General features: G+C 41.9%; 1 long non-coding RNA gene across 1 annotated transcript; it reads left to right on the top strand.

Annotated features, from left to right (window-relative positions):
- Window positions 1–25432, top strand: LOC107984012 (uncharacterized). The gene is made up of 5 exons (XR_001747465.2): window positions 1–90; window positions 698–807; window positions 2851–2947; window positions 18188–18313; window positions 25371–25432. It is a non-coding gene; the product is annotated as an uncharacterized LOC107984012 (long non-coding RNA).

The following is a 26467-nucleotide window of genomic DNA, read 5'->3' as shown; positions in this document are numbered from 1 at the left end:
TGCTTACCAAGTTCTAAGGCCTTACTGATTTCCAGTCAACTTGTTCTATCCATTATTGAGAGACGAGTGTTATAGTCAGCAACTATAATTGTAAATATGTCTATTTCTCCTTTTAGTTCTATCAGTTTTTGCTTTAAGGCATCAAGCTCTGTTTTTGTTTGTATATTTTTAAACTCTGTTACTAGGTGCATAACTGTTTAGGATTGTGGCTGGGCGCGGTGGCTCACGCCTGTAATCCCAGCACTTTGGGAGGCCAAGGTGGGCGGATCACCTGAGGTCAGGTGTTTGAGATCAGCCTGGCCAGCATAGTGAAACCCCCTCTCTACTAAAAATCCAAAAAAAAAAAAAAAAAAAAAAAAAATTAGCCGGGCGTGGTAGAAGGCGCCTCTAATCCCAGCTACTCAGGAGGCTGAGGCAGGAAAACTGCTGGAACCTGGGAGGCAGAGGTTGCAGTGAGCCAAGATCACACCACTGTGCTCCAGCCTGGGCAACAGAGCAAGATTCCATCTAAAAACAAACAAACAAAAAAAACACACAAAGAATTGTTATACCCTCTTCATCAATTTACTCCTTTAGAATTATGAAAGACCTTTTCATCATTTTGATCTGAAATCTACTTTTTCTAATATGAATACAGCTACTCCAGCTTTCTTTTGATTAGCGTGAACATGGTATATCTTTTCCCGTACTTTCTCAGAGCCGTCTGTTCTCAGGCCAAGCTTGCTTCCTACTCTGCCATAAGGTGAGCCATCTCTACCTGCCTGGAGATGGACCTGCGGTCATCCAGTTCCACCAGTGCCTGGCTGGGTAAGTGTGATTTACTCTGACATAAATTAGAAAACTATTGTGACTGCATATTTAATTTCACAGCCCCTACGCTAGCTTTAATCTGTAATAAAACAGACAGACTTCAGTGTCTGTATTTCTATCCTTTCAACATTTCGGAGGAAAAGAAAAAAGTGTTTTGATTTGTTTGCTAAAACCTTTGCAGGCGAGTAGCATGTGAAGGGAATATTGCATAGACACTAGCTTTTGTTACCTCATAAAGCACTGATTCTGAATACTCTATGTGCCCCTTGGTTACTGAAAAGAGGCAGAGCATCTTAATGTTGTCAAACTTGGCTGCAGCCAAAGTGTAAACATTTTGCTTTCTATTACCAAGTTATTTTTGCAACAGACACTCTTATATTTTGTTACTAAGTAAGACAACAGCATCTCTCGATCCCGTGTTAGGCTGTATCACCGGGTCTCACTCTGCCTCTGACTCTTGCGGGGCTCAAACTTTACCCCCAGAGATCCAGGAGGGCCATGAGGGGCAGTATTGAAGTGAAGCCCGGGGAGGGGGAGAGCTTGAGGAATGGAGTGAGAAGGTGTGTGGTTCATCTTCCCTGCTAAGAAGAAACACTAGAAAGTTCTATGGTTTGTTTTCCTGGTTTTGTTAAAATGAAGAATCTTTGAGTCCAAAAGCCAAAACAGCTCATCAGACATGTCACATATCTTTAAGCACAAGCTGGCTGGACCAGTTTCCCTACATCACCTTCTGTCCTTGTTACTTGGCCACAAAGTCACATCTTGCAGCCTGGGGAATCATGCACACTGAACACCTCTTAGAGGTGGTTCTAAAAACTATTTGGGGGGAAGAACAGACCAAATATCCAGAGGTGGTAACAAGGCCCCAGCCTCTCTGGAGAACACTCGTAACACCAACCCAGTCCTCTTCCCAAGGCCTGGTCTCCAAAAGGCAGCAATCTCTTATGCCAAACATACTTATTACAGGGCCTACTGAGGTCCATTTCTTCAGACACTTCTATGGAATTTCCAAGAATTCGTGCAACTTGTAAAATTATGAAACTTCTCATCTAGGTGCTTCCCCTCAGCTTCATTACGCAAGTAACTATTCTAGGTTTTGTGTTTACACTTCTTTGGGGTTATTTAAATATTTAAATATCTAGCCGTGTAGAAATTCAAATATCTCTTAATGAGGCAAACTTCTAAGCAGAGACTTCACGTCAATGTTAACTGCTTTCCAACTGCAAATGATGTGAAAGTTTCCCCGAACTAATGGCTGGCTGACTCAATGGAAGATGTCACCTTTAAGTTCCCTGAAAAGAAAAAGTCCTCCAAGCTCGTCCAAGGCCAAGTACAACTCACACCTTTACAGCATGAGGGGATATCAGCCTGTTCAATGTGGTTAAAGGGAAAACAGTGAAACCTGAGTTGACAAGAGGAGAGGAACATCCACAAAAGGGGAATGAGCACAGAGAGAAATCAGTCAGAACCTCAGAGGAAGGAACTGTGCTGGGTGTCACACTTTATAAAACGTTAACTAGCTCTTCCTCTGACATTATGAATCTGATATGATTTGCAGAGACAGTGGGGCCAAACGAACAGAAAATTCATTCCAGCCTAACATTCTTCTCTTCCATTTAGCAAGTGTCTTATTACTAAAGTTTATTTCTCTCAAAACTTGGTCTCTGTGTGGCCAGTTGGTTTTGTTCTGTCCCATGGGACCAACCAGGCTCTTAACCTGACCCTGCACTCTGGCACTCAGGGACCAAAAAGAAGGAATGATGTATGCTCCCAGTAAATAATAGTGTGTAGATTCCAGTAAAACAGTTCAGAGAAGGGTCTTGTGAAAATGGGGCTGGAGAGGAATTGTCTTGATGTGAGAAAGGTAGCATGCATAGGGTGGCTGTTGGATATCAGTGTTTTCCAGAAACAAATGGTGTAGTGGAACCATCAAAGGACAATGCTGAACTCAACTCTTTCTTGAAGTCATAGGAGGTGGGACATTTGTGTCTTGAAAGAAGATTACATTAAGCCTGTTGCCTATTCCTTCTCTCCTTCCAGAGCTATAAGTTGGTGCTGTTTGCCAGGGTTGGTGTCTACAGAGGGCCAGGGGAATTCCAAGCGAGGGACTCAAGGAGAGCTTCTTGGACTCCTCAAGGTAAGAGACGTGGTGAGATACTTGAGGATTTCTGGTTCCCATTCTAGTGCCTGCAGCATTAAAGAGCCAACAAGGACTTAAGACAGAAGCCCATGCCAGGAGTAAAGCATGTAAAATAGACTCAAAATTTGTCTGTGCCAAACCTCTTAGGAATGGAGTATCTGCTTAATGAAGGAGAACCCATCCATATACTTAGGAGTTGGAACACCAATATATGAGAGTTCTCAACCTATGGGAACTCTAAAAGTGCTCTTAAATTTGAATTCCCTCCCTTCCATTCTGGCCGAGACTTGGCCCCTAGGAAAATAGCAAAGTGCAAAGGTGTTGACTCTAGTCAGTTAATAGATCCACTAGTGTTTCTGCATTACTCACTGTTAGTCACCAAGCATTCACTAAGCATCCACTGTGAGCATGAACAGGACTACAGGCTGTTAGTTGTGTCATTTGCTGATGTGTCTGCCCTCTTCTACTGCTCCTACTTCCAACGTCTATGTAATATTTTGTATCTCCTGACAATGCAGCTGGGTTGGGTACTAACAAAGAAGGCCAGAATGAGCTCAAGGGTATTGCATTATTGCTGGAAGAGTGTTCCCATTAATAAAAGCTGGCATTGTGTAATGTCATTCACATATTACTGTACATGAGATGATGCAATGTGATGCTGGCCTTTGATTCACCCAGAGCTTAATGGGAGAATGAGACTGGTCATTCCAAATCCCTGAATTTTTACCACTGAGAATCATAAAATATTAGAGCTGGGAGGGACTTTAGAGAATAGCTCACCCAACCTCCTTTGTTTTACCAATGGGAAATCTGAGGCTTATGTTATTCTTTGTTGAATGTACCAACTGGAATCTGGCCAAAGTGCCTGTTTCTACTCACAAATGTAACGTTTGGAAACAGATTGGGTCCTGTGCCATCTGCTACCATCCTTGGTAGACTAGAAGACTAGGAATCCAGAATAGTTCCAAACCGTCTATGCACTTCATCTACATTATTAGCATCCCGGTTCCAGAAATTCTCTCCCTGAGGGTACTAGTATGTGGCACAAAGGCAGGGAAAATAAAAATAATTCTTGTTTTCTTATAATTTCATCTGATTCATCACTGCATCAAGGTGAGCTCGCTAATCTTAGATCTCAGATCTCCAGGGCATGGGCCCAGCCCTCTTTGATACAGAGCTATGAAGGCTGTCCAGCTTTGGTAGCAATCTCAATGGCATGTTTTTGTTGGACCATTTAAAAAATGACACAGTCCCCATTGGAGCTTGCACCTGTGTGTTTGTCTACCTTCTGCTGTATCTCCTTAATAGGGGAGGCAGGTAGTCTACCTGTTTAGAATGAGTTCAGGCTACGTAGTCTACACAGCATCAAGATATGGAATGTGTAGTTCACAATTCACTTTTGCCTGAATTATTTGTGTAATTGTGGAATGGGTTAGAAAGGGCATTTTAAAGAGTTATTCTTGGCTGTGGTAGGCTTTGTTCAATGGAAACATGTTTGGCTCTGTGTGAGCTGGCCTAACAGAGAAGTCATGGACAACATCCTCTTTCTTAGGAAAGCTTTCAACTGAAGAGTACTGCAAAAATCTTGGGGACACAGAGCCAAATGAAGCTGTTGACCCAGGGTTGGCCATCACAAGTGTTTTGTAGCCAAGGAAAAATTTGCCTGGGATCAAGATGCTTAGCAGGACTCCTGAGAGTGCCAGAAAGGAGACTGGAAATTAGTAGAAGTTGCTTCTGTTTTTGAGAAGGGCCCTTCTGTGTTTACATAATACAGAGTTTTTGAAATAGAAACCCCTGGCCAGAAAGTTAGAGGCCAAGAGAAGAAATAGAAATTAAATGAAATTCTTCCTTCGGCCTCCCCCTCATCTCTGTAAAAATAGACAGAGACTTCCTTTTCCACTTACAGATGGGGAGGGCACTGTTTTGCAGTTAGAGCTGAGTTGTGAGGTTGAGGCAAGCTGGGTTGGTGTTCGAAGAGAATTACCATCTCTTCGAATTGAAACCCATACCCTAAAGGGTCTTTGGATTGGGAAATAGTGCAACCTCCCCATGCATAAGAGTAGGAGGCACTCCATTTAACTCTAGAACACCATTTTTTGGCAAGCCTAGCATCTAGGCTTAACTTAGCTACACCCTTCTCCTACTTTATTAGAAGCTGGGCATTGAAACTTATCCCTGCCACCTACTAGAGAGAGAGCAAAGAGTATCAGAATGGTCTTTTGAAGGATCTGGTATATTCAAGAGACAAACGCACAGTTTTGTTTTCATTCATTCACTTGCTTAATAAACATTTATTCAACTTCTGCCTCTCCTAATCTGTGTGATTTGCCATGTTTGTGGAGAATGGAATATGAAATTACTGAGTCTTGGCCATCCACGATCTTTCACACTAGGCAGGGAGATAAGACAGACCCACAAATAATGATAATAAGCAGTGAAATGTAACAAGCTCCTCAAGAAAGACGGAATGAAAGGTTATAGAAATTCAGATTAGAGGAGGACCTAGCTGAGCTGAGGAGGGAAGGCTTCATGGTGGAAGTGACAGTAGGAATGATGAAGAGTAGAATTCCAGGTGGTGAACTGCACATGCAAAGGCATTAAGGCCACAAAGCATGGAGGTATGTTTGGAAAATAATGAGGCCTCTAGTTGGAGGTAATGTAGAGGATGAGTTGAGGGTAATAGGCACTAAGACTGAATGGAAACTTTCAAATGCCAGAAGAACCTGGAATGTAAGGTAGGAGAACAATGAAGAATCACTGAAGATTTCACAGAATGAAAACAAACTATGCTGTAGAAAAATTTATCTAGTAGACGGGTTTAGAAGGTGAGATAAGAAAGGGGAGGTAATTCAAGAAGTAATTAAAACAGTCTGGGCTATAGACAATGGAAGTCATGAAGAGGAGTGGGAGAGTAAGAGGAAGAGGAAGAGGCAGTAGAAACACAATGAGAAGGCAGAGAGGAGACACCATGGCACTAATGTGGCAGCTGATCAGATATGGGGTAGGTAAGGTAGAACACCTGTCAAAGATGACTGAGGATTTTTAGCTTGGTTGTAATTCCCCACTGGGTAATGATCTCGACTGTTTCTGTTTAGGGAGAAGGGTTTAAGAGAAAACTGATTGCTAGGATGAATTTGTCCAGGGCTTATACCTGGGAGCTATAATGATCTCCAAAGCAGTAGCCTCAGAAAATATATTGAGGGCTACACTGTGATGGAACTTTTTTGAGGGTGACAAATACAGAGAATGTGCAAGGCAGAAAATACCTGCTTTCAGTGAGCTTACAGTTGGAGAGGCAAGAATAGCACGAACAAATAACGCCACACTCTATAAGAAAGAATATAATGAATGGATTAATTATGTATTCAAGATTGTGAATTATACAGACATTTAGGAGCAAAGAAGAGCAATGAAACAAGTGGGGCTTCTTGGAGGAAATGTTACATAAGGTGTTGGGATTTGGAGGGAAGGAAGAGAGAAGTAGGAGAACAACGCAAATAAAGGCAGAGTGCTGGGGGTGGACAGTGGTGTTTATGAGGGACTGAACAGACTAACCTGGACATCTCTTCTACAGGAACTTAGAAAAGTTCTCAGTCATCTGAGGGGTATGAAGGGTGCAGGGGAAAGCAAACATTGAGCAAGATTCACAATAGGAGCATGCAAATATTATGCGCTACTCATATCAGTGGTGCATAATATTTGCATGCTTCTATTGTGAATGTCGACTATTAATGTAACCATATAATATTACTCTTTTGGGGTGATGGGGGAAGGAAAGTTGGGTGTGTGTGTATGAAAGAGCAAAGTTCCTATCTTCTTTGGCAGGGAACCAATAAATAATGCTTAAAATTAATACATCAAGAAATGGCATTGTAAGCACACCTACAAACATAGAAATGCCTAGGGAGGCAAGAGCTGCATGAGGTGAGGGTGGTTGCCTCTGGGGCAGGAGGATTGGGTTAAAGTGGGGCAGAGGGCTGCGAATATTAATTATATGATGTGGATTTAAAAACTAAGTATAGTGTTATAGTTTTTGAAAAAAAGAATGGAATTTTAAAATGCTGATCTGATTTCATCCTGAGGTGATGATTGGAGTGCATAAGTAAGACAGGACACCTGGGCCCACTGTGCTGCCTTTGATGGGGAGCCTAGGATGATTTCCTGGGAAGGTCCAAGGCTGTCTCAGCCAAGCTTGCTCCCTGGTTTTTCCACCTTCCTGGGGGGGTCCTCCAAACTCAGCTCTCTCAGGCCCCTTTCCTTTTTAAACACTGCCTTAGCTTTCCATCTGGGTTCTTCCCTCCATCTGGTCCGAGGCAGCTGGGCGGCAGCATCCACAGCAGCTCACTTCATTGATGGCCCCATGGAAACAAGCTCCAAACTTTCATTTCGTCCTACTGCAAATTATTAACAGGATGTTTCCTGTTCATGTTTATTAGCAATGGGCTAATAAAAATGATAACTGTGAGAAAGGGATAAAGTTGAATCTATCTTACAGAGTTCTTACCCTCCTGGTCTCGGGCTGTGGTTCCTAATTCCATTGTCCATTTCTAATGATCTGGTCTGGACTTGATTGTCCCATTTTTATTCCAGATGGCTCATCCAGCCAAGAAAAGAAAAAAACAAAATCCCGGGCAAGAACCGTTAAGTGTCACAAGTGGATGATTTGCATTTCTGGGGATCCCCCAGATAGGGGAAACCTATTTAAGTGAATGCTTGTTCTATAAAAGAATTGTTCTTCTCTTTCCAGACTAAAAATAATCATCAGAGTTCTCAGTTTATTTTGAACATATCTTCCTCCAAGCTTCTCAACTTCCTGTACTCAGCCCCCCTCCAAAAAAGAAAAATAAAGTTCTTTAGCCTCTCCAGATCTGGGGGAAGGCAGCAGCAAAGGTACATTAAAGTGGGAGACTTGGAAATTCACCTCAGCTCTGCATCTTTATCAGGGAGCCTTCCCGGGCCTGCAGCCAGGTCAGAGCTGTATCATCAGTCTGAGTAGGAAATCCATGAAAGATGATTTCACCTACCCTGATCTTCATCATTCCCCAAGAGCCCTTTCCCTTCAAAAGTCCCTGCTTTCAATCCTAGGTTTCTGCTGGGAAAGCAAAAGGTTTTCTTTTCGTCTTTCCGCTCCCTCTTCCTTCTGTTTAGAGCAACACAGCTCCAACTCCTCGCTCTGGGGCATTCCAGTTAACAAAGAACCTTTGTCTCTGGCAGATCCTCAGAAATGGGGCCTTCTGATAGGCTGGCTTGTTAGTGATCGAAAGCCCCAGGCACTCAGGTGGCCCAATGTCTTTATCTAGCTTTTTCATAGCCAACGATCAGTGATAAATGGGACATAAATATTCAGCAATAACCAATAAAAGCCCACACTGATTTCTCAGTCATTGGGAACCGCCCCCCTCCCCCATTTCTGAATAGCATCCACTTTTATCTCAAAAAGGCGCCAACAGTTTAGGAACCAAACTTTGTTAGTGTCCTCAGGCTAGGACTCTGGCCGCATCCTGGGCCTCTTAGGATCTGCACAGAAAAGCTTGAGGGAGTTAGGACAGTCCTCTCATCTCCCCTGGGGTTGCAAGCATTTTTGCTTTGTTTGTTTTCTAGTTCTGTAGAGTGAGTGAAGGAAGCAGGGAAAGGAGTCCCAGCACAATAGCCAGCCCTCCAAAGGCCCTGGGCTCCACACCGAAACGAACATGGAGGGAGGTAGCTGTGAGAAGGGGAGATATCCTGGCTACCTACGTGGTTCCTTGCTTCTTGTAGCTTTCTAATAGTTTGTAGCTGGTTCTGGCAGCACCCAGAGCAGAACAGTGGGAGGAACTGGGCACCTCCAGAGATATCCTCACTGATTTCTGGTTGCCATGTATCCAGTCACTGCTCATGCCAATGGAGAAGGCCTCAGGAAGAAGCTTCAGAGACTGGAGTGAACCGGACTGGCCTTGGTCACCGGCAGCTTCATCCTGCTGCGAAGGCCACCAGTAGAGGAAAAGATAGAGGGAGAGGAGTCTCTGCAGCAGAGCTTCTTCCAAAATATGGGTCCACAGGCTAATGAGGACCTCTCTGGTACTACTCTCCCCAGGCTCTTTATGAACATAAAGATGGCAACAACAGACACGGGGGACTACTATAGGTGGGGGAGGGAGTGGGACAAGGGTTGAAATCCTACCTGCTGGGTACTGTGCTCACTACCTGGGTGACAGGATCAATCATACTTCAAGCCTCAGCATCATGCAATCGACCCAGGTTACAAACCTGCACATGTACCCTCTGAATCTAAAAGAAAAGTTAAAATTATATGAAAAAAAGATTATGTTTTTCTAGTCTAGGTGGATGATCAGATGGCTCCTCTCTTTCCTAACAGCATTTACAGCCCTTCAATGTGGGCCATGTGAGACACTGGTCTGAGAAGAACTTTATGAATTATATCTCCTGGGAGCACTCTGAACTACTTAGTTTCCATTCCCAGAGTGAAACACACACACCTGTTTGGATTGCCATCTTTACCCTCCCTTTCAGCCTGGATTCCTAGGAGGTACCATTCGCATTTGGGAGAAACTGTCTGCCCCTTGTGGGGAAGCTCTTGCCTCCTTGAAGAGACAAACCCAATTTTATCCCTTCTGAACCATTGCAAGTTTTCTGCCAGTTGTGTAAACTACAAATGTCTTAGAAATATTAGCCCGGAAGTTGTTTTTTTTGGTTTGTTTTTGTTTTTGTTTGTTTTAATTCCCCAGCAGTTTACACAGTTTTGAGAACAGTTGTTTTTTTTGCACAAGCTCATGTTTGGAGATTCAGAAGCTCTTGGCTATCAATCATACTACTTTATTCCCAAGTCTTTCCACAGTGTTGAGGCTTCAGAGCTGAGTTCCTTCTGAGTTACTCTGGACTAAATTTCATCAGTCAGCCACTGCCTCTTCAACATCTTTGTATCTAGTCTTCTCCTTCTCCTTAGGAAATGTCTTGACTTCAGCTTATTTTTCTAATAAGAAATGGGACAGTGTCGCTGGTGACTCAGAGAGGAAAGGAGAAATCCAAACTCCTTTAGCCTTGTGCACAGAAACTGAAGTTTTAGAGGAATAGTTGGGTAGGTTTTTTTAATGGGCCATTGGTTTTTCTCTCCTTGAGTCTTGTCTCTTTGCCATCTTTGTCTTCTCTCCTTCCATCCTCAGCAGAGTTACTGAAAGTCTAACTAAACTTAGCCCCTTATGGCTGGGTAATTTGGAGAAATGTTGCCTTCTGGCATTTTACTTTTGTGAAATAAATGGGCTCAATGAATAACTGGTATATTCTAAGTCATAAATTAATTTTTTTCTCTTTGTTTTCTTCGCTTTTCTTCTTCGTTAAAAAAACCCCTTTTGTTCCTTTAAGAAAGAGGACATATTTAGGAAGTGTTCTGGCCTACCAATCGTTTAGTATTTATTTGAAGGCTGAATTACCAGGATTAATGCTATAGATTCATGACCACAAATATGGGTTAGTTAGTAGCTGTACGTTGAAGAGAACTGTGCTCAAATTCTAGCATGATGCTTATAGCTTCATGAACTTGGGCAAATTAATTAACTTCCCAGAGCCTCAGGAGTTTTATCATTAAATGAAGAATAAGGACATGCTTCATAAAATTGAGGGTAAAATTACATAGTGTGTGTAGCACAAAGCCTGACACATTGCAAGTTCTCAATCAGTGGTACCTATGGTGTCAACTGCATAGACCACTTTTAAAATTTTCCATGGGAATTAAAAAAATCTTAACATTCTTCCCTTGTTCATTTAGCATCTTTCTGGCTCTCATTCATAGCAAGTGATGTATTCTGAAGGAATACAAAGTCATTTTGAAATTAGCTTAAGCAAAACTTTCATAGAGAAGTCATTTCTAGTCATCTTCAAAGTGTGTACATTTGTGTGTGTGTGTGAATGCATGCACTACTCTAGATAAATTTCTAATACCTAGAAAGTTCTTTTTAGTACTTCTTGGCTTTCTAAAATGGATAACAGAGAATTTATTCAATTGTTCCTTCTTCCATGAAATCTTTCACTACACCCTGGAAAACCTGATGAGCTTTGAAACTCTGTACAGCCCTCGGGAAAGATGCTATTTTTCTTACTAGTATTTCTTAGTGATTTACATTGTTCCTCTTCTCTACTACACTTTAAGTTCCTGGAGGGCAGTGCCTTCCATGGCACCTAGCAGAGTCTCATGTGAAGTAAAGTAGACATCAGTTCAGGATTAACAGCCTGGACTCTAGAGTCAGACATGCCCTTAGGTCCAGTCCCACTACTTTTTGACTCCTCAAGCAGCCTTACTTAATCTTTTCTGAGTCTCAGTTTCCACTTTTGTCAAACTGAAGTGTTGGGGGTTGTTACAAGCATCAAAGAAGCATATATATATATTCTCAGTTCCTGGAATGTAATGAGAAATGAATGAAATTGTAGCTACATATAATTATCACTATTATTCATGTGCTAAATATATGCTTGTATGTTGGATGAATGGACAGATAGATGGATGGATGTCATTCTCTATAGCTGCAGCAAGCAGACCTTGCAATGAATTATAAAAGTATTCCCTCAACATTCTGATCTGCCAGGACTCCAAACTGGAATTAACATTGGGGATTTCCATATTTTTAAAGGTCCACCTCCACTCTCAGTTTTGTTCTGATCTTCCCTGTGATACTTGAGTTTTCTTCTGAGATCTGACACCTGACACTCCCTGACTCTCTTCTGTATAGTGAAAGCCCATCTTTTGCTGATAGACTATTGCCAATAGCAATATTATTTCTAGAAGGATAATCCTTATCTTGATAGCTACTTTCTAACATAAACAGAGAAGAGAAAATAAAAGAATACCATTTCCACACCAGGTAGTGGAGAGATAAACAAAGATGTCAGTAGTCGCTATGGTAGGAGAGTGCTTTTGCACGCTCAATTACCTGCCTGAGCTGTTGGCCTGCTTCCTGTCTGCTTTTCTTTGCATTGCTTGACCTTTAGACTGATGCTATTAAAATACATACCCAGTGCCACGTAAATGGTTTTCAATGCCTGGCTGCTTAGAGAAAACTCATTGACATGCAGCGTACAGTTACTTATGCATGTGAAAAAAAAAGATTAAGAGTCCTTTTCGACACCAGCTTGCTAGGATCATATTTTCTTGTGGCCCCTCTATAGATTACTGACCTCCCTATGGGTTTTTGGCCTCAAATGACACTGTAGCACCTGACATCTCCTTCTTTAGCTACCAGGTATGAAGGTGTATCTGTGGCTAAGAGGTTCTCTGCCCTGGGATCAGTCCTGGGCTCGTTGCTGAGTCACTAGTGGATGGAAACAGTAGCCTCATACTCATTTACACTTCTATGATAGTCTAGATTCATCTGTGTCTTTCACCTTTCTCTTGATTTCATTTAAATCCAGATACTGGAGTCCCTACTTTAAGAATACAGAGCTCTTCCCCACCCTGCTTGTTCGCTCTTACCGTTCTCTCCCTGGAAAGGGAAACAAGACTATAAACCTGACAAGGATTCCAATCTTAAAAAAATCAGCATGAGGGTCCAGATGATAAGAATGCCCCTGTGAGTTGAACTGTAGCACTTTGGTATTCACAGAATGATTCATCATTCATCCATTTATGTACATTTTATATAACAAGTTCATCTTCATGCATTTGTTTTCATTTATGTCAAACCTTAGGAGGAAATGGAAAGGAGTAGAAGAGCTGTTCTTGCTTCTTGACAAGATAGATTATTATAAGGTAGAACTTAAAGAGAATGGGAAAGATATTAAGAGCATGACAGTGGAGAGCTTGTCATGTTCCATAGGAGAGATGAATCTGAACTGGATCCTGAAGCAGAGAAGAGGGTTGGGTGCCTAGAAATAGTGGATAAAGACATTTGACCTAAAAGAACAGTGTCTGTTATATCAACATGGCTGTTGAGAACTAGCTCCTGCATATCTCTCCTCTTCCATGAAAAGGGGGTATTGAACTAACTTTAGAGTCAGTTTACAACCATTGGTTTTACTGCCATGAAATAGATGAATAATAACACAGGTAAGAGAGATGCTATCTTCATTCTTGTGAGCTTCTACAAGGCTGTTCTTGGCATAAGCAAAGTTATGAAAGCCATTTCATCCAGCCTCATGCCATTAGGTAAAGATGAATTCAGCACGGGGGGCATCTTGTTGCCAATAGGCTAGGATACTTCTAGTACTCCATGATGCATTTCTTCATGTGTTCTGATTCTAGATGCTAAGGCAGTAATGACAGGACATGGAAAAGGCTTGCCTCTGTGAGTTTCCATACTCACTTCCAGCTACTCTGCCACTTGCTCTCAAGGCTCCAGCCACATTGTCCTTCCAGAAGGCCCATCTCAGGCCTTCACATCACTATTGTCTCTACCTGGAATCCACTTTCTTCCAGTTATTGCTTGGCAAACTCCCACCCATCCTTCAAGTCTGTGAAAATGGATGGGACCAGATCTGGTTGCTCCATGGTGCCTATACTATTCCTTCATGACCAAATTGTAATGAAAATGTTTAGGTGTTAAAATATTTTCTCTGTATCCCCTATTAGACTATAAGTTCCATGAAGTCAGGGATTGTTAGTTTTGTTCACGTCAGTTTCTTTGAAGCCTAGCACAGGGCTGAGTGTATGGTATATACATAATAAACTTGGTCGAATGTTGAATGAATTAATGCATTTGGAGATCTTACAATCATAATGGCTAGTCAAACCATGTGCAAAATGAGTTAGTTAATTATGGAGACATTTCAAACGTTGCAGTAAAAATTGACATCATTGGCAATCCCAAGTTAGAGAGATTGTGATGGTCTTTACAGAGTTCTTTGCTCTAAACTAGTCCCCTAAAGTTATAATGTATTGAAAGAGGCCAAGAACAATAGCTGCTTGTCTCTCATCTGTGGAGACTGGGAATATTCTTTCAGATGACTTTCTAAGCTCTAGAGCTGGAGAAAGCACCCGGAGTGAGACATCATTATTGGCAGTCATTCATCTCTCTTCCCTTCCTTCCTTCCTTCCTTCCTTCCTTCCTTCCTTCCTTCCTTTCTTTCTTTCTTTCTTTCCTTCTCTCTCTCTCTTTCTTTTCTTGAGAAAGGGTCTCACTTTGATGCCCGTGATGGAGTGCAGTGGCATGATCATGGCTCACTGCAGCCTCAACTTCCTGATCTTTCAGGTGATCCTCTTACCTCAGCCTCTTGAGTAGCTGGGACTACATGCATACACCACCACACCCAGCAAATTTTTGTATATTTTTGTAGAGTCAGGGTTTCACCATGTTGTCTAGGCTGGTTTCAAACTCCTGGGCTCAAGCAGTCCTCTTGCCTTGGTCTCCCAAAGTTTTGGGATTACAGGCGTGAGCCACTGCACCTGGCCAACTTTTCTTATTTTCTTCTATCTTTATTTGTTTCATTTTTTTATGCATCTACTTTCTTTCCTGCCATTGTACTCTGTGGCCCCATGAACATGGCTTGGTTATGGTGTTCCAATCTAAACAGGAGCCAATTCTTGCTTTAGAGGAAGTAAGGATTTCATGCTAAAACCCAGAAGGTGGTTCAACTTCAGGCCACAGGTCTTGGCATAGGAAGGTGCCATTTGGGCTGATAGCATAAACATAATGGAATAGTTAGACCACAGTTCTTCCAAGCATCACTTTCCACTCCTCCTCTGCTTCGAGAACCTCATCCTGTTTGTTCATAGTTGATTAAACCCTGTCTCCTCTCTTCCATATCTTGAAGGCTAGTTCAAGCCTCAGCATCTGCTTTCTGAATTATTGCAGTAGTCATCCACATCGTCTCCCAGATTCTAGGAGCTATCATTTCCAAAGCACAAGTTGTATCGTCCTGTCCAACTCAACATTTATGATGCCTTTTATTGCTAGTATGAATTCCCACCCTCTCAGCAAGTGTTGATACTTTTGTCTCTTTACAAGTTGTCTCTCAAATCCCTTCCATCTCTAACCCCATCCAACCCTCCCCAAAGTGCACAGTACTCCAGCCCCCTGGACTCTGATGACCATCCCTTCTGACTCCGTTTTATGTTTCCGTGGCTTTGCACACACTGTTCTCATTGTTGAGAGACTTATCCTTGCTGAGCTTAAATGTTCCCTCTTCTGAATGTCTCTTCCTAATCCTCAGAGTCAGAATTATAAATTCTCTCCTCTGTACTCCCAGGCAAGTTTACTTCTAAGTCATTTACAGCTTGCCTTGTTTTGTAGTGAAGAGTTTGTATCTGTTTCTGGCACTGCCTGTGAGCTCCTGCAAAAGCTGAAACCATGTTTAATATGTACAACCTCTATATGATCATGATTTTCCAGGGAAGTGACTTTTTTTTCCTGTCTTACTGCTCATATAAGTACACCCGTGCCTGTCAGACCATACATCTCTTCCGAAAATATGGTCACAGCTTTTATTCATCTTTATATATGTCCTTTTACAGAAAATCCTCAGAAATAGTTTGTCGAATTGAATGAACTAAGTGACTCCTTACGAAGCACGTTCCCCCCATGGTTCTATGATTCAATTAGGAAAAATATACTTATGTCTTGGACCAGCTTTTTCTCCAGATGTCCTGGCAGCTGAGGAAAGTCAGAAAGAAAAAAATTTAAAAACACCTATCCATAAAGAATAATGGAGATTGAGGTTTGAGGTGAGGAAGAAGGAATTCAATGAATGAAATCAGAACCATTAAACTTTTAAGGTGCCTGCCCTCCTGCTTGTTGTATCATTGTGTCAACACATAGCAACAGTTTCCTATTGTTGCCAACAAGGCCTTACAATATTACCTTTCATAATGAAAAACAACAGCTGTAGCACAGCCTGAGAACAACACTGCTTCTGTATTGAAAGCCCAGTTCTTAGGAGCTCTAATCACTTCTAAGATAGCATCTCTCCAATTCTCAGAATATCCCTCAGAGGGAAGGAGGAGGCTTGTATTGTTATCGGCTCTATTTTGCATACAGTAAAAACAAGGCAAGAGGAGGTTAAATGATTTGTCCTTGGTCATGTGTGAGTCAGAGACTGAGCCAGCCAGAGAAGTTTCTTCACTTCCAGGCCATTGTTCTATCCTGATATTGGCTAACTCTCTCCCTCCATCTTTGTAACTGGTGGGGACAAACTACCAAGGGAGTGACAACTGGGTTATCTTTACTTCCCAAAATATAAATGTTGGCCACTGACCAAGAGAGTTCACAATAACAAATGTAAGGGGAGTTGTATGTCTGTAGTTTTGTGTGTATTCCTTCAGTCAACAGATAGCTTTGGAGGACTTGTGTGTGTCAGGCATTTTGCTATCCACTGGGGATGTGGAGTTGAGCATGAGAGTCATTGTTCCTGCCTTCAAAGAGCATCCACTCTAGCGGGATCACAAACATTAAATAGAGAAAGAAACAAATACAACTATCATAATGAATCTGTCATCTTCGAGCAGGCTGGGGCCATCCATTAAAAAGGTTCGTAGCCTTTTTTATTCTCTATCTCTCAGCAGGATATTCGAGACCCATTGCAATCTATCTTCAAAATATCTTCCATTTCCATTGGCCTCCAGTAGTTCTCTCTTCCCTCTGATAAACAGAGTGCTCCAGCCCTACTAGACTCTGCCATTCCTGGGCCACTCAGTTTTAAGTTTCTGTGGCTTTGATGAAATGGGCGGAGACACCTTAGGCTTCTTAGACTAGAAGTGAGGGTGTGGGGAGAATGGAGTGAAGACTGGAGCCATGCCTAAGGAGAGATGAAGCCACTAAAATGCTTGGCTAGTGAACATGTGTCCTATAAGTGAAAGGTTGAGAGGATGGCTATTACAATGTCTATTGCTGTGGTTAAGCACCTTCACACATTTTAGCTAGTGTAGAGGAGAGAGTACTGGATTAGGAGACTGGGTGCCTGGACTGTAGTCCTGCCTAGACCTTGGCTAAGTCACAGTATGTCTCTAACCTCAATATTCTCTTTGGTCACATTAGCGGATAGGATTAAGTGTTCTCTGAAGGCTTCAGAATAAGGATGTCCCTATGGTTCTTCAACCTGATTTCACGTGTGTGTGTGTGTGTGTGTGTGTGTGTGTGTGTGTGTGAATGTAGTGGCATAGGGTGATAAGATAGGGGGGGATAATTTTTAAAATGGGACCAGCTCTTGAGAACTACTGGTTTCTTCCAACTATGCATAAAACCACTGCCAAGGTGGGGTTATATATTTATATTTGTGTTTCCACATCAGTTACATTATACCCAGCCCAGAATACAATGTATTCTCTCCATTGTAAACACTTTTGTATCAAGCTACTTCTATGGCCTTCCCAGACCCTGAAGACCTTGTATGGGGGAAAAGATTTCTCCTTTACCCTCTGAGGTTCTGTGGTTGGGCCTGAGAATTAAACTTACAAAAGACAGATTAACAGGAGAAAAGCATACAAACTTTATTTGATGTTAATATTTTTACATGCATTTATATATAGGAAATGAAGTTCCGGCCGAGAGCAGTGGCCCACACCTGTAATCCCAGCACTTTGGGAGATGGGAGGTCAGAGGTGGGTGGCAGGAGGATCTCTTGAGTCCAGGAGTTCAAGACCAGCCTGGGTGACACAGTGAGACCTTGTCACTACAAAAAATAAAAAATTAGTTGGACATGGTGGTGCATGCCTGTGGTCTCAGCTACCTGGGAGGCTGAGACAGGAGAATTGCTTGAGCCCAGGAGGCGGAGGTGGCAGTGAGTTGTGATCATACCAATGTGCTCAGCTTGGGCAACAGAGTGAGACCCTGTGGAAAAAAAAAAAAAAGGAAAGAAAAGAAAAAAGGAAATAAAGATCCAAAAAAAGAGATAGGTCTGAAAGCTTATTTACAATTTTAATTAAAAAAAAGTGAATTATGAAGATCTGACAAGACAAAGGAAAAAGGGATTTGGGCTAGGGGTGGCAAATTGTGAGAAAGTGATGAGGAAATAATGGAGGAACTAATGGAACATAAGGGTTATTTTGGTAGGTTTGTTTATACAGATTAATCCCATTCCATCCCTCACCCCATAATAAGAATGTTTTCCTCTTTTTGGCAAAAGAGAAGGCACCATTGTCATGGGAAGTTTAGTTCTTTCTTTAGGTAAAAAGGGAAAGGCCAAAGAGTCATTCTTGCATCTGCTGTTTTTTAGTTGCCTTCAGCTCAAAATACCTAATATGCCAAATTGGCATCTTTTGGGATGGCATATTCTGATTTCCTTCAACTTTTCTTTGTTTCTTTCTTTCTGGGTCCTCAGTTCTACCAGGAGGCAGTGCTATGGTGTGCCCAACCCTCCCAGGGGCCTAAGTGGCCACCCTCTTGGGAATGCCCAAAGCATCTGCTATTTAGGACTTGGTTACAGAGCACCATCAGCTTCCCCAAGGTAAGCCAGCATTGACTTCCAGGCCATTTAATTTACATCTTAATTTTGCTCATTGCTCATTTCTAAAGAGGGAGTCCATTTCCTGGGTTTTTCCAGCTCTCAGATACAAACAGATCGAGCCTTTAGTTTCACTCCTAAGATGGAAGACTTATTTCACAACACCAGTGGCCCCGCACAGCCTGATTTCTAAAGCAGAGACATACGTGCTGCACACTGCACATTTGCCAGTATTAGGTTCCTGCAACCAGTTGGGCAAGAGACTCTGTCAGTGACTCCTCTGAACTGATGCTTGAGGGTTTCAAATCAGTGGGAGGAGTTTTACAGAAACTGTAATACAGCCAACATTTACATGTCTTCAGGTATGTAAAATCTACATTTTTCTTACATATGGAGCATTTATTTCTAGTTATGCTTTCCAATTGTGCCATTCATTTCTTTTAATCAAGTTTAAGGATATGTCCTCAGTAGTAGATCTGAACCAGGCAGAAACGATGTGTCAAAAATATTTCTTGGTTAGTAATTGGTGAGACAGGGCCTTATGGTTTCCAATTATGGAGTCCTAGAAACTAAGTCATCCTTCTTTGAACTCTGCCATGGTCATTTCCAGACCCAGGAACAGAATGACTCAGAAATAGCACTGGTTTTGGCAACATGACTGACATCTTACCTTCAGGCCCAGAAATCAAAATCCCATCTCAAGAATGCTGTTTACTGTTTTTTTTTGTTTTTTGTTTTTATTTTTATTTTTGGTAGGTGAGAAGATTTTAGTTGGGGATATTGCATCTTTTATCCATCACGAGCTTTGTATTCTGCATTTCCCCAGTCCCCTTAGTTGGTTGCTTTGTATGGAGGCCATGGATCTGGAGCTGTGAGACCCTCATTGCCCCACCTTTAAATGCTTATTTCTGTTCCTTGTGAATAGGTGTGTATTAAAATGGAACAAAATTTGCTTCAGAAGAAGAGTAAAACTGTTGGTTGATACAAGGTTTTAGACATATGTAGGTGACAATTTATTCATACCACGTCTAACCATTTATTATTATATTGGGTTTTGAGGTCTGAGTGCATGTTCGTACTGCCCAGTGGAGAATATGTGGAAAGAAGAAGGCTTTCTTGGCCAGCAGCAGCTAACAAACAGCATTTTGGTCTTGGGTCCTTAATTATTAGGGACTAGCATGCCAAGGCTGACTTTTTACTAGCATGTCTCTTTTCCTTTAGGAAAAAGTTTTAAAACAGACTACCCAAAGGTCTTCCAATTGCTAGTTCAAGAGATGACTTGTGTTTGAATTTGGCCAATTAACATGACAATGTCAATGTCAAGATCCATTTCCAGGGGAAAGAGTTGTTCTTTGAAAGGCAGTTCTTGAGGGTGTCCAGGCTGAGAGGCAGCTTCTCCTCTGGGACTATTTGGATTTTATATTCCAGAGCCAAAAAAACATTCTTTAGCATTGGCTGACAAAATGGGTTTCAGAACAGGAGTTTCTAAAGCTGCAGTGGAAACTTTAATTATGCAGGTCCTGTCAAAATCCATCTGCTAATTCAACTGTTTCTGGGTAAGGTACTTTTTATTTTTCCAGAAGTATTACTGGATGACTCTCTGATAGGAATATGAAATTAACTTTCTTCATAGGCAAGCTTTAGTTTTTATTCTTTTCAGCATTAGTAATATTTTCTTCACAGGATTTATTTGCTTTGTAGCTGATTTGATAAAGGCACCTAAGTGACTTTAGAGCCGAGAGACAGAAGGTGTCATTTAAGGAGATGCTATTGGAGGTTTCAGTGTGTATGACTTTGTGATTGACTAGTGCTCATGACTTAGAAATAAAGCCTTTCTGTAATTTTTAAGAGGAGAGGGACATCAAAAGTTGTTCTGGTTCGTGCAAGACCCAAATGTTTGGCATGCTCATGGGCAAATCTGTGGTCTTAACCTTTTCAATATGCCTCATCGAAACAGTTGGAAACCTCTCTATTAGGCAATACTTCTATTTATGATGAGCATCCATGGATTTGTTTTTGTGGAGGGATTGGGCAGGAGTTTGAGGTAGTTGCTAAATGTATAAATATTGAATGTGCCAGCATCTGGGACATTTCAGCTTAAATATCAGACAGTGAGGCTTATGCAAGCCGCTGACTTAGTGAAACTTCTGTTATTTTAGGGCGCTTGCCTAGATAAGAAGCTATAGGACAAAACCAGAATTTTTATAACCAGCAATGTCATGTGCATTTCAAACAGAGATTAAGAAAAAAACTTTTACTAATGAGTCTCAGTTTCAGGAAAACCTCAGTGGAATTATATGTGAGAAAATGGACTTGTGAGTGGTGATAGTCTAACATCTACTTGGGGTCTGTAGCCAAAGGGCTTTTAAATACAGACTCCTCTTCACCAATTAAAATAAAGAACTCTATTAATTTTACTCGGTCTTCAAACCAAGGAAATTTCATGGCAAGTTTGAGAAAACAGTTCTCTGGGACCTCGAAATTGAGAGACAAAAATATTTTGCAGGGCTAAATATTCTGTGTAATGATTACAACTGTGATAGAGTCATCGCTCCGTGATCTGAAACGCTTGCTTTCCTGAGCCTGGTGGAGCATGGTTTTCAGTTAATTAAGAGCATCCCTTGCTTTTTAATTTGCCCAGTTTTTCAACCCCTGATTCATCTTTCTCCCAAGGGATAAATGTGTGGAGTGAGAGCTTCTTGCCAGGCCTTGCCCTACACTTTTCTCTACAGTCTGGCAGCTTTGCCTGCTATTTTGTCCTCACCTGCTGTGGAGTTGTGCCTGCTGTTGTCCTCACCTGCTGTGGAGAGTTGGAGAGTGTGTGGCTGCCTATTGTTATAAAGCTCTGGTTCTCTCCTCACCAGACAGGGTTTGAGTCTTCTCCAGCCATACTAGAGATGTCTTGGAGACTATTCTAGTTCTCCACCCACCTGATTTCAGTTTTCAGGTCCTCAAAGAGAACAGGAGATGTCCTGATTATTTTCTTCTAGGAACAATTTTACCAAGAGATGTGGGCCACCAAGTTAACCTCTCTATGCCTGAATTCTGCCTATCTGCTGTGCTGATCTTAAAGGAACACAGACCCTTTTAAATCATTTCTAGATCTTCAGTGTGCCTATTAGTGATTGATGGTGTTTTATTAAAAATGTATACTTTTGGGTTCTACTCACAGATTCTAGCATGGAGCCTAGGAATCGATATACTCAATAGTATCCCTTGGTGATTCTGATGCTGTGGTCCTAGGACCAGGTCTGAGAAACATTAATGCTTTAAAACGTGTATATGGCAAGAACTAAGTGAACAAATGGGTCCAAACTTCCTTATTTTACAGCTGTAGAAGTTGAGCTTAAACACAATGATAAGCCCTCAGCTAATCAGTGACAAGTTATCCTCTGGACTTCAGGACTAAAACCAGGTCTCCTGAGTTCTAGTTTATAAGGCTTCAAGTCAAGAGGTGAAATACAACAACACAGATCTGAAACAGCTCAGGGTTAGTGGGATCGAGTAATGTGGCTGCCTTGGCTCCGTCATGCAAATTTGAGGATGTCACTGAAATGCAACAACACGAGGCCTGCAGATTATTTCCTGAATTATCTGAAAGGGTCTTTGTGGAGTCTGTCAAGTCTAAATCTGCATTTGTTTCTTAAAATCCCCAATATAATATCCCTGCCAAGTAGGCATCCATTTAGTTGAAGACTACTCTCTTTGAAGACTTCTTGGGATGCTCCCAACCACGCCAATCCCCTTTCCCCTGTCCACTTCCTAACAACTCTCATCCCATACGATTAGCTCTATACTGGGCTGGAAATCTCTCCTCCACACCTGTACCTTCTACCCAGTGCTGGGCCTACTTTCAAAACAGATACAGAACAAGTCTAATTGGCCTTCCACATGACTGTGATCATGCCTTCTAGCTAAACATTCTTTTGTCGAGGTTGAACAATCCAAGATCCTTTGGCCATTTTTTGTATAACTTGGTTTTTAATATTGTCTTCTTTGTGATTGTTTTGCTTTGCATGCAGTCTGTTTTGTCATCTTTTATATTAAAATATAGCAACTGGAACAGAACCAGTACTCAGTGTGGTTTGACTGGTTCAAAATTCATTACTTCTAAGATACTTTGTGCCTAACCATAAATACAAAAATTACATTATCATTTTGAGTGGACCAATGACATTCAACTCACAATTAAAAATCCCATGTCTTTTCACAAGTGTTGCTACAATCATATGTCTCCCACCTAGTATTTGAGTTGATGATTTTTTTTTAAACTCATGTGTTTTATTTAACATTGATCCCAGTTAATCTTGCTGGAGTCACCCCACTGTCCTAGACTATTGACACCTTTTTAAAATGCTGATTTTGTCATTAGTCCGAGGTTACTTGATTTTATTCAATTATTCATTCCACAAACATTTACTGAAAACCTGCTATAATATGCCAATCATGGTACTGGATATCGGAGATAAAATGGTGAGCAAGGTAGTCATATCCCTTCTGTCATGGAATTTATAGTCGAATGACGAATACAAACCAGTTACCAACAACATGAACAGTACCTGTGATGATGAGTGGTGTGCATGTTTGGGTGCACACGTGGAAGGGTGACCCGGGGTGAACATCTTGTCCAGTTTTGAGGGTGGTGGTCAGAGAAAGCTGCTTTGTGGAAGTGACCTCTAAGCTGAGATGCAAGAGATGTGGCATTAGTGAAAGAAGAGTGTTCCAGGTGGGGCAATCCCATGATCCAAGGACCAGAGACAAAAGAAAGCACAGCCTGGGGGAGGGGCGGTGGGTATGTATGAATGGGACTGGCAGAGCGAGATGCCAGGAGAAGGGGCTCAACTCCTCAGAGGGGAATGGGGAGCACCTGTGAGAGTTTAGATTGTCTGGAATGTTGATAAAAAGTCTGGAGAGCAATGTCTGAGACTGACACCAGCCCATTCCTCAGCAGTTTGTGGGGAAGACAACTTGTCACAATTGCCAATCTCTGCATTTCTCCATCCTGCCCACCAGAGTATCCTAAAAGACTTGGTCAAATATCTTGCTGAACATCAGATACACCATGTCTCCTGATTGAGCAGACTAATACCCTTATTAAAAAGAAAATGTGGTTGGCCTTTGTCTGGCCTGACTTGGCCAGGTGCTCGCCACTTAGGACCAATGTTTGATTTCCTGTGCCACCTGACAGCCCTTGAGCTAGTCCTTGCTCTCTGCACTAGAGAAGAAGCCAGTGAAAAGAAAGATGGGCATCCTAAAATGTAATGGTAGGTAATTATGAAAGGTGACATGGAACATATTTCTCTTGCTCTTAAGATGTTTGCTGGGCTAGAAGCTGTCCTCATGTGCCTCTGTCTGGCTGTCATAGCAGAGGTATTACAGCCTATAAGAGGCAGGCCTAGGGATCAGATGGCCTGGTCTCAAACCTTGCCTTTTTTGGTTACCACCTGTGCAACTGGGGCTGAAAGCTTGACTTTCCTCAACTGTAAAAGGGAAATAAAATGTCTACCTCATAGGGCAACTTGTATTGGAAGTAAATGAAATAATGCACACCCAGTGCCTGTTGTATAGTAAATACTTGATGATAAGTGTTATTTATTTATTTATTTATTTGAGATGGAGCTTTGCTTTTGTTGCCCAGGCTGGAGTACAGTGGTACAATCTCGGCTCACTGCAATCTCTGCCTCCCAGGTTCAAGCAATTCTCCTGCCTCAGCCTCCCAAGTAGCTGGGATTACAGGTGTGTGCTGCCACACCAGGCTAATTTTTGTGTTTGTAGTAAAGATGGGGGTTTCACCATGTTGGCCAGGCTGGTCTGAAACTCCTGACCTCAAGTGATCCACCTGCCTCGGCCTCCCGAAGTGCTAGGATTACAGGCATGAGCCACCACTCCTGGCCTGATAAGTGTTATTTATTATGTTTCTAGAATAATTTATATTTGTCAAATCATAAAGATTTTTGTGCCTTCCTATTTCTTTTCCTCATGCGGTTCCCTTCATTTTCTCCCACACTTAGTGGAGAAACTCCCCTCCTTCTTCTTTCATTACAGCAACTATTGAAATGCAAAAGGAATGAAGTGCCTGGAAAGAGAAATTGCTTTTGACCAGTTACCCTTTTATTCTCCCTCTCATTTTTGGAGGCCTGGAGCCAGCTAGCCAGGCTGATGTGAAGAACTGCTTAAGTGTGAGCAAGTTGGGTGTGGAGGGTACGGAGCTCCATGCCTGCACAATGGCACTCCCCCCACCAAGTCTGCAGGGAAGGCCGTGGGTGGGCCTCTGACAGAAGATATTCTTTCTCAGTGCTGTACGTGACATCCTGGTCAAATAGACGGAGTGAGTCTTTGTGATGTTGCAATGTTTTATTGTTACTAGCACTTTAGCAACTATCTGGAGCTGACAGGACAGCTGTTCAGAAAGAGATGATATTTTATCAGCTTGTGTAAGTCACCAGTGACCCAAAATGTGCATTTCATTGGAAATTAGGAAAGGAGAATGAGTCTTTGAGTCTTCTGGATTTGGAAATCTTCCATATCATTCCAGCTAGTCACACAATATAGTATCTAAAATTCTGGCCCAGGCATGATGCCTCATGCCAGTAATCCCAGTACTTTGGGAGGCTGAGGTGGGAGGATTGTTTGAGCCCAGGAGTTTGAGATCAGCCTGGGCAACAAAGTGAGACCCTGTCTCTACAAAAAAATTAAAAAAAAAAATTATCTGGGCATTGTGGTACATGCCTGTAGTCCCAGCTACTCAGGAGGCTGAGACGGAAGGATCACCTGAGCCTGGGAGGTCAAGGCTGCAGTGAGTTATGATTGTGCCACTGCACTCCAGCCTGGGCAACAGAGTGAGAGACCCTCTCTCAAAAAATGTAAAATAAAATAAAATCTCTGATCGGCCATCCTCTGTAATTGGAGATACTCATTGAATTTCCTTCTATGTTAGGATCAATTTGGGTATCAACAGATCAGGGTTAAGGGCAAAGTTTGCCCTTCAAGACACTTTGGGGCCTTCTTAATGTATCTAGAGAACAGTCATGTATTAATGCTTATTTGTGTCCTTCCTCAGTTTGCAAGCAAGCATTTTCCCAGGAGATAGAGTGGCCAAGGTATTGCTTGTGTCTGACCCCCTTCTTCTGTCTGAAACAAGGTGAGCCTATTTCAAGAAGAGACATTGGCAATGGTGCATTGTTAATGAGAATGGCATGCCCTCTGCAGCCTCCTCAGGCGTGGAGCTGGGCCGGGAGCTAGGAACACTTGCTCTTAAGTGCAGTATGTTTCAACCCACTGAAAGATCTTAGTGCAAAATCAAGCATGGAATGATGTTCTGTGGTTTTCAAATAAGTTCCTAGAGGGTTTGAGTTGGATAGGCTGGGAACAAACCTATTCACCTATGACAGACCTAAGCAGACTCCGATGTCTGATCAGGGAAAACTGGACATGTTTACAGGACCCAAGAGGGTTGGCTCCTCATTTAAAACATTTATAACATTATAGCCTGGCCCCAAGTCCAGCTGAGCTGAGAACTGTGAAGAGGGTAAGTGTGTTGGGTCTGTGTGTTTATGCAGTTGAGTGAAATCAAGTTTGTTCTCTAGAGAAACTGCAGATCAATTTGTTGCATCTTTGATAATTTCCCCTGTACATGCCAACTCTTAACCTCATAAAAAAGCTCCAGTAATTATCTCCAAACTGAACTTTTCTCAGTTCCTTTGGATAAATAAAAATTCTCTATGAATCAATTAGAGGAATCTCCATTTTTTTAAATATCAAAGAACTGGATTAAAATGGATTGTACAGGAAATGCTGTCATTAAAAGGGCCAAGAAAAGAAGACATGCTTAATTATTGAGTGGAATATTCATAATTTTGCATATCTATCAGCTCAGTGTGTCCCTAACATGTTTTTAAGATGTACAAAAGGAACACATATTATAGCTCTTGCTCTTTTTTTTTTAAGGAAGGCAAAACAAATGCCAACATAACCGTTGTTTTTGACTACTTCATTTCTCTTTCATTGAATGAAATAACACCATATCTTTTTCAATCCTCTCTTTCAGGGCTACCCTCCACCCAGCCACTGTCTAAAGAGCTTCATTTAAAGGTAACCCTGCAAGGCTTTGAGAAGGGTTTTGCCACCAAGTTATTGTATTTAATCACAAATTATTCC

Source organism: Homo sapiens, chromosome 10, assembly GCF_000001405.40.
Source record: "Homo sapiens chromosome 10, GRCh38.p14 Primary Assembly".
NCBI classification, from domain to species: Eukaryota; Metazoa; Chordata; class Mammalia; order Primates; family Hominidae; genus Homo; species Homo sapiens.
The sequence above is the reverse complement of the archived record's forward strand: the minus strand, read 5'-3'. Positions and strand labels throughout refer to the sequence as shown.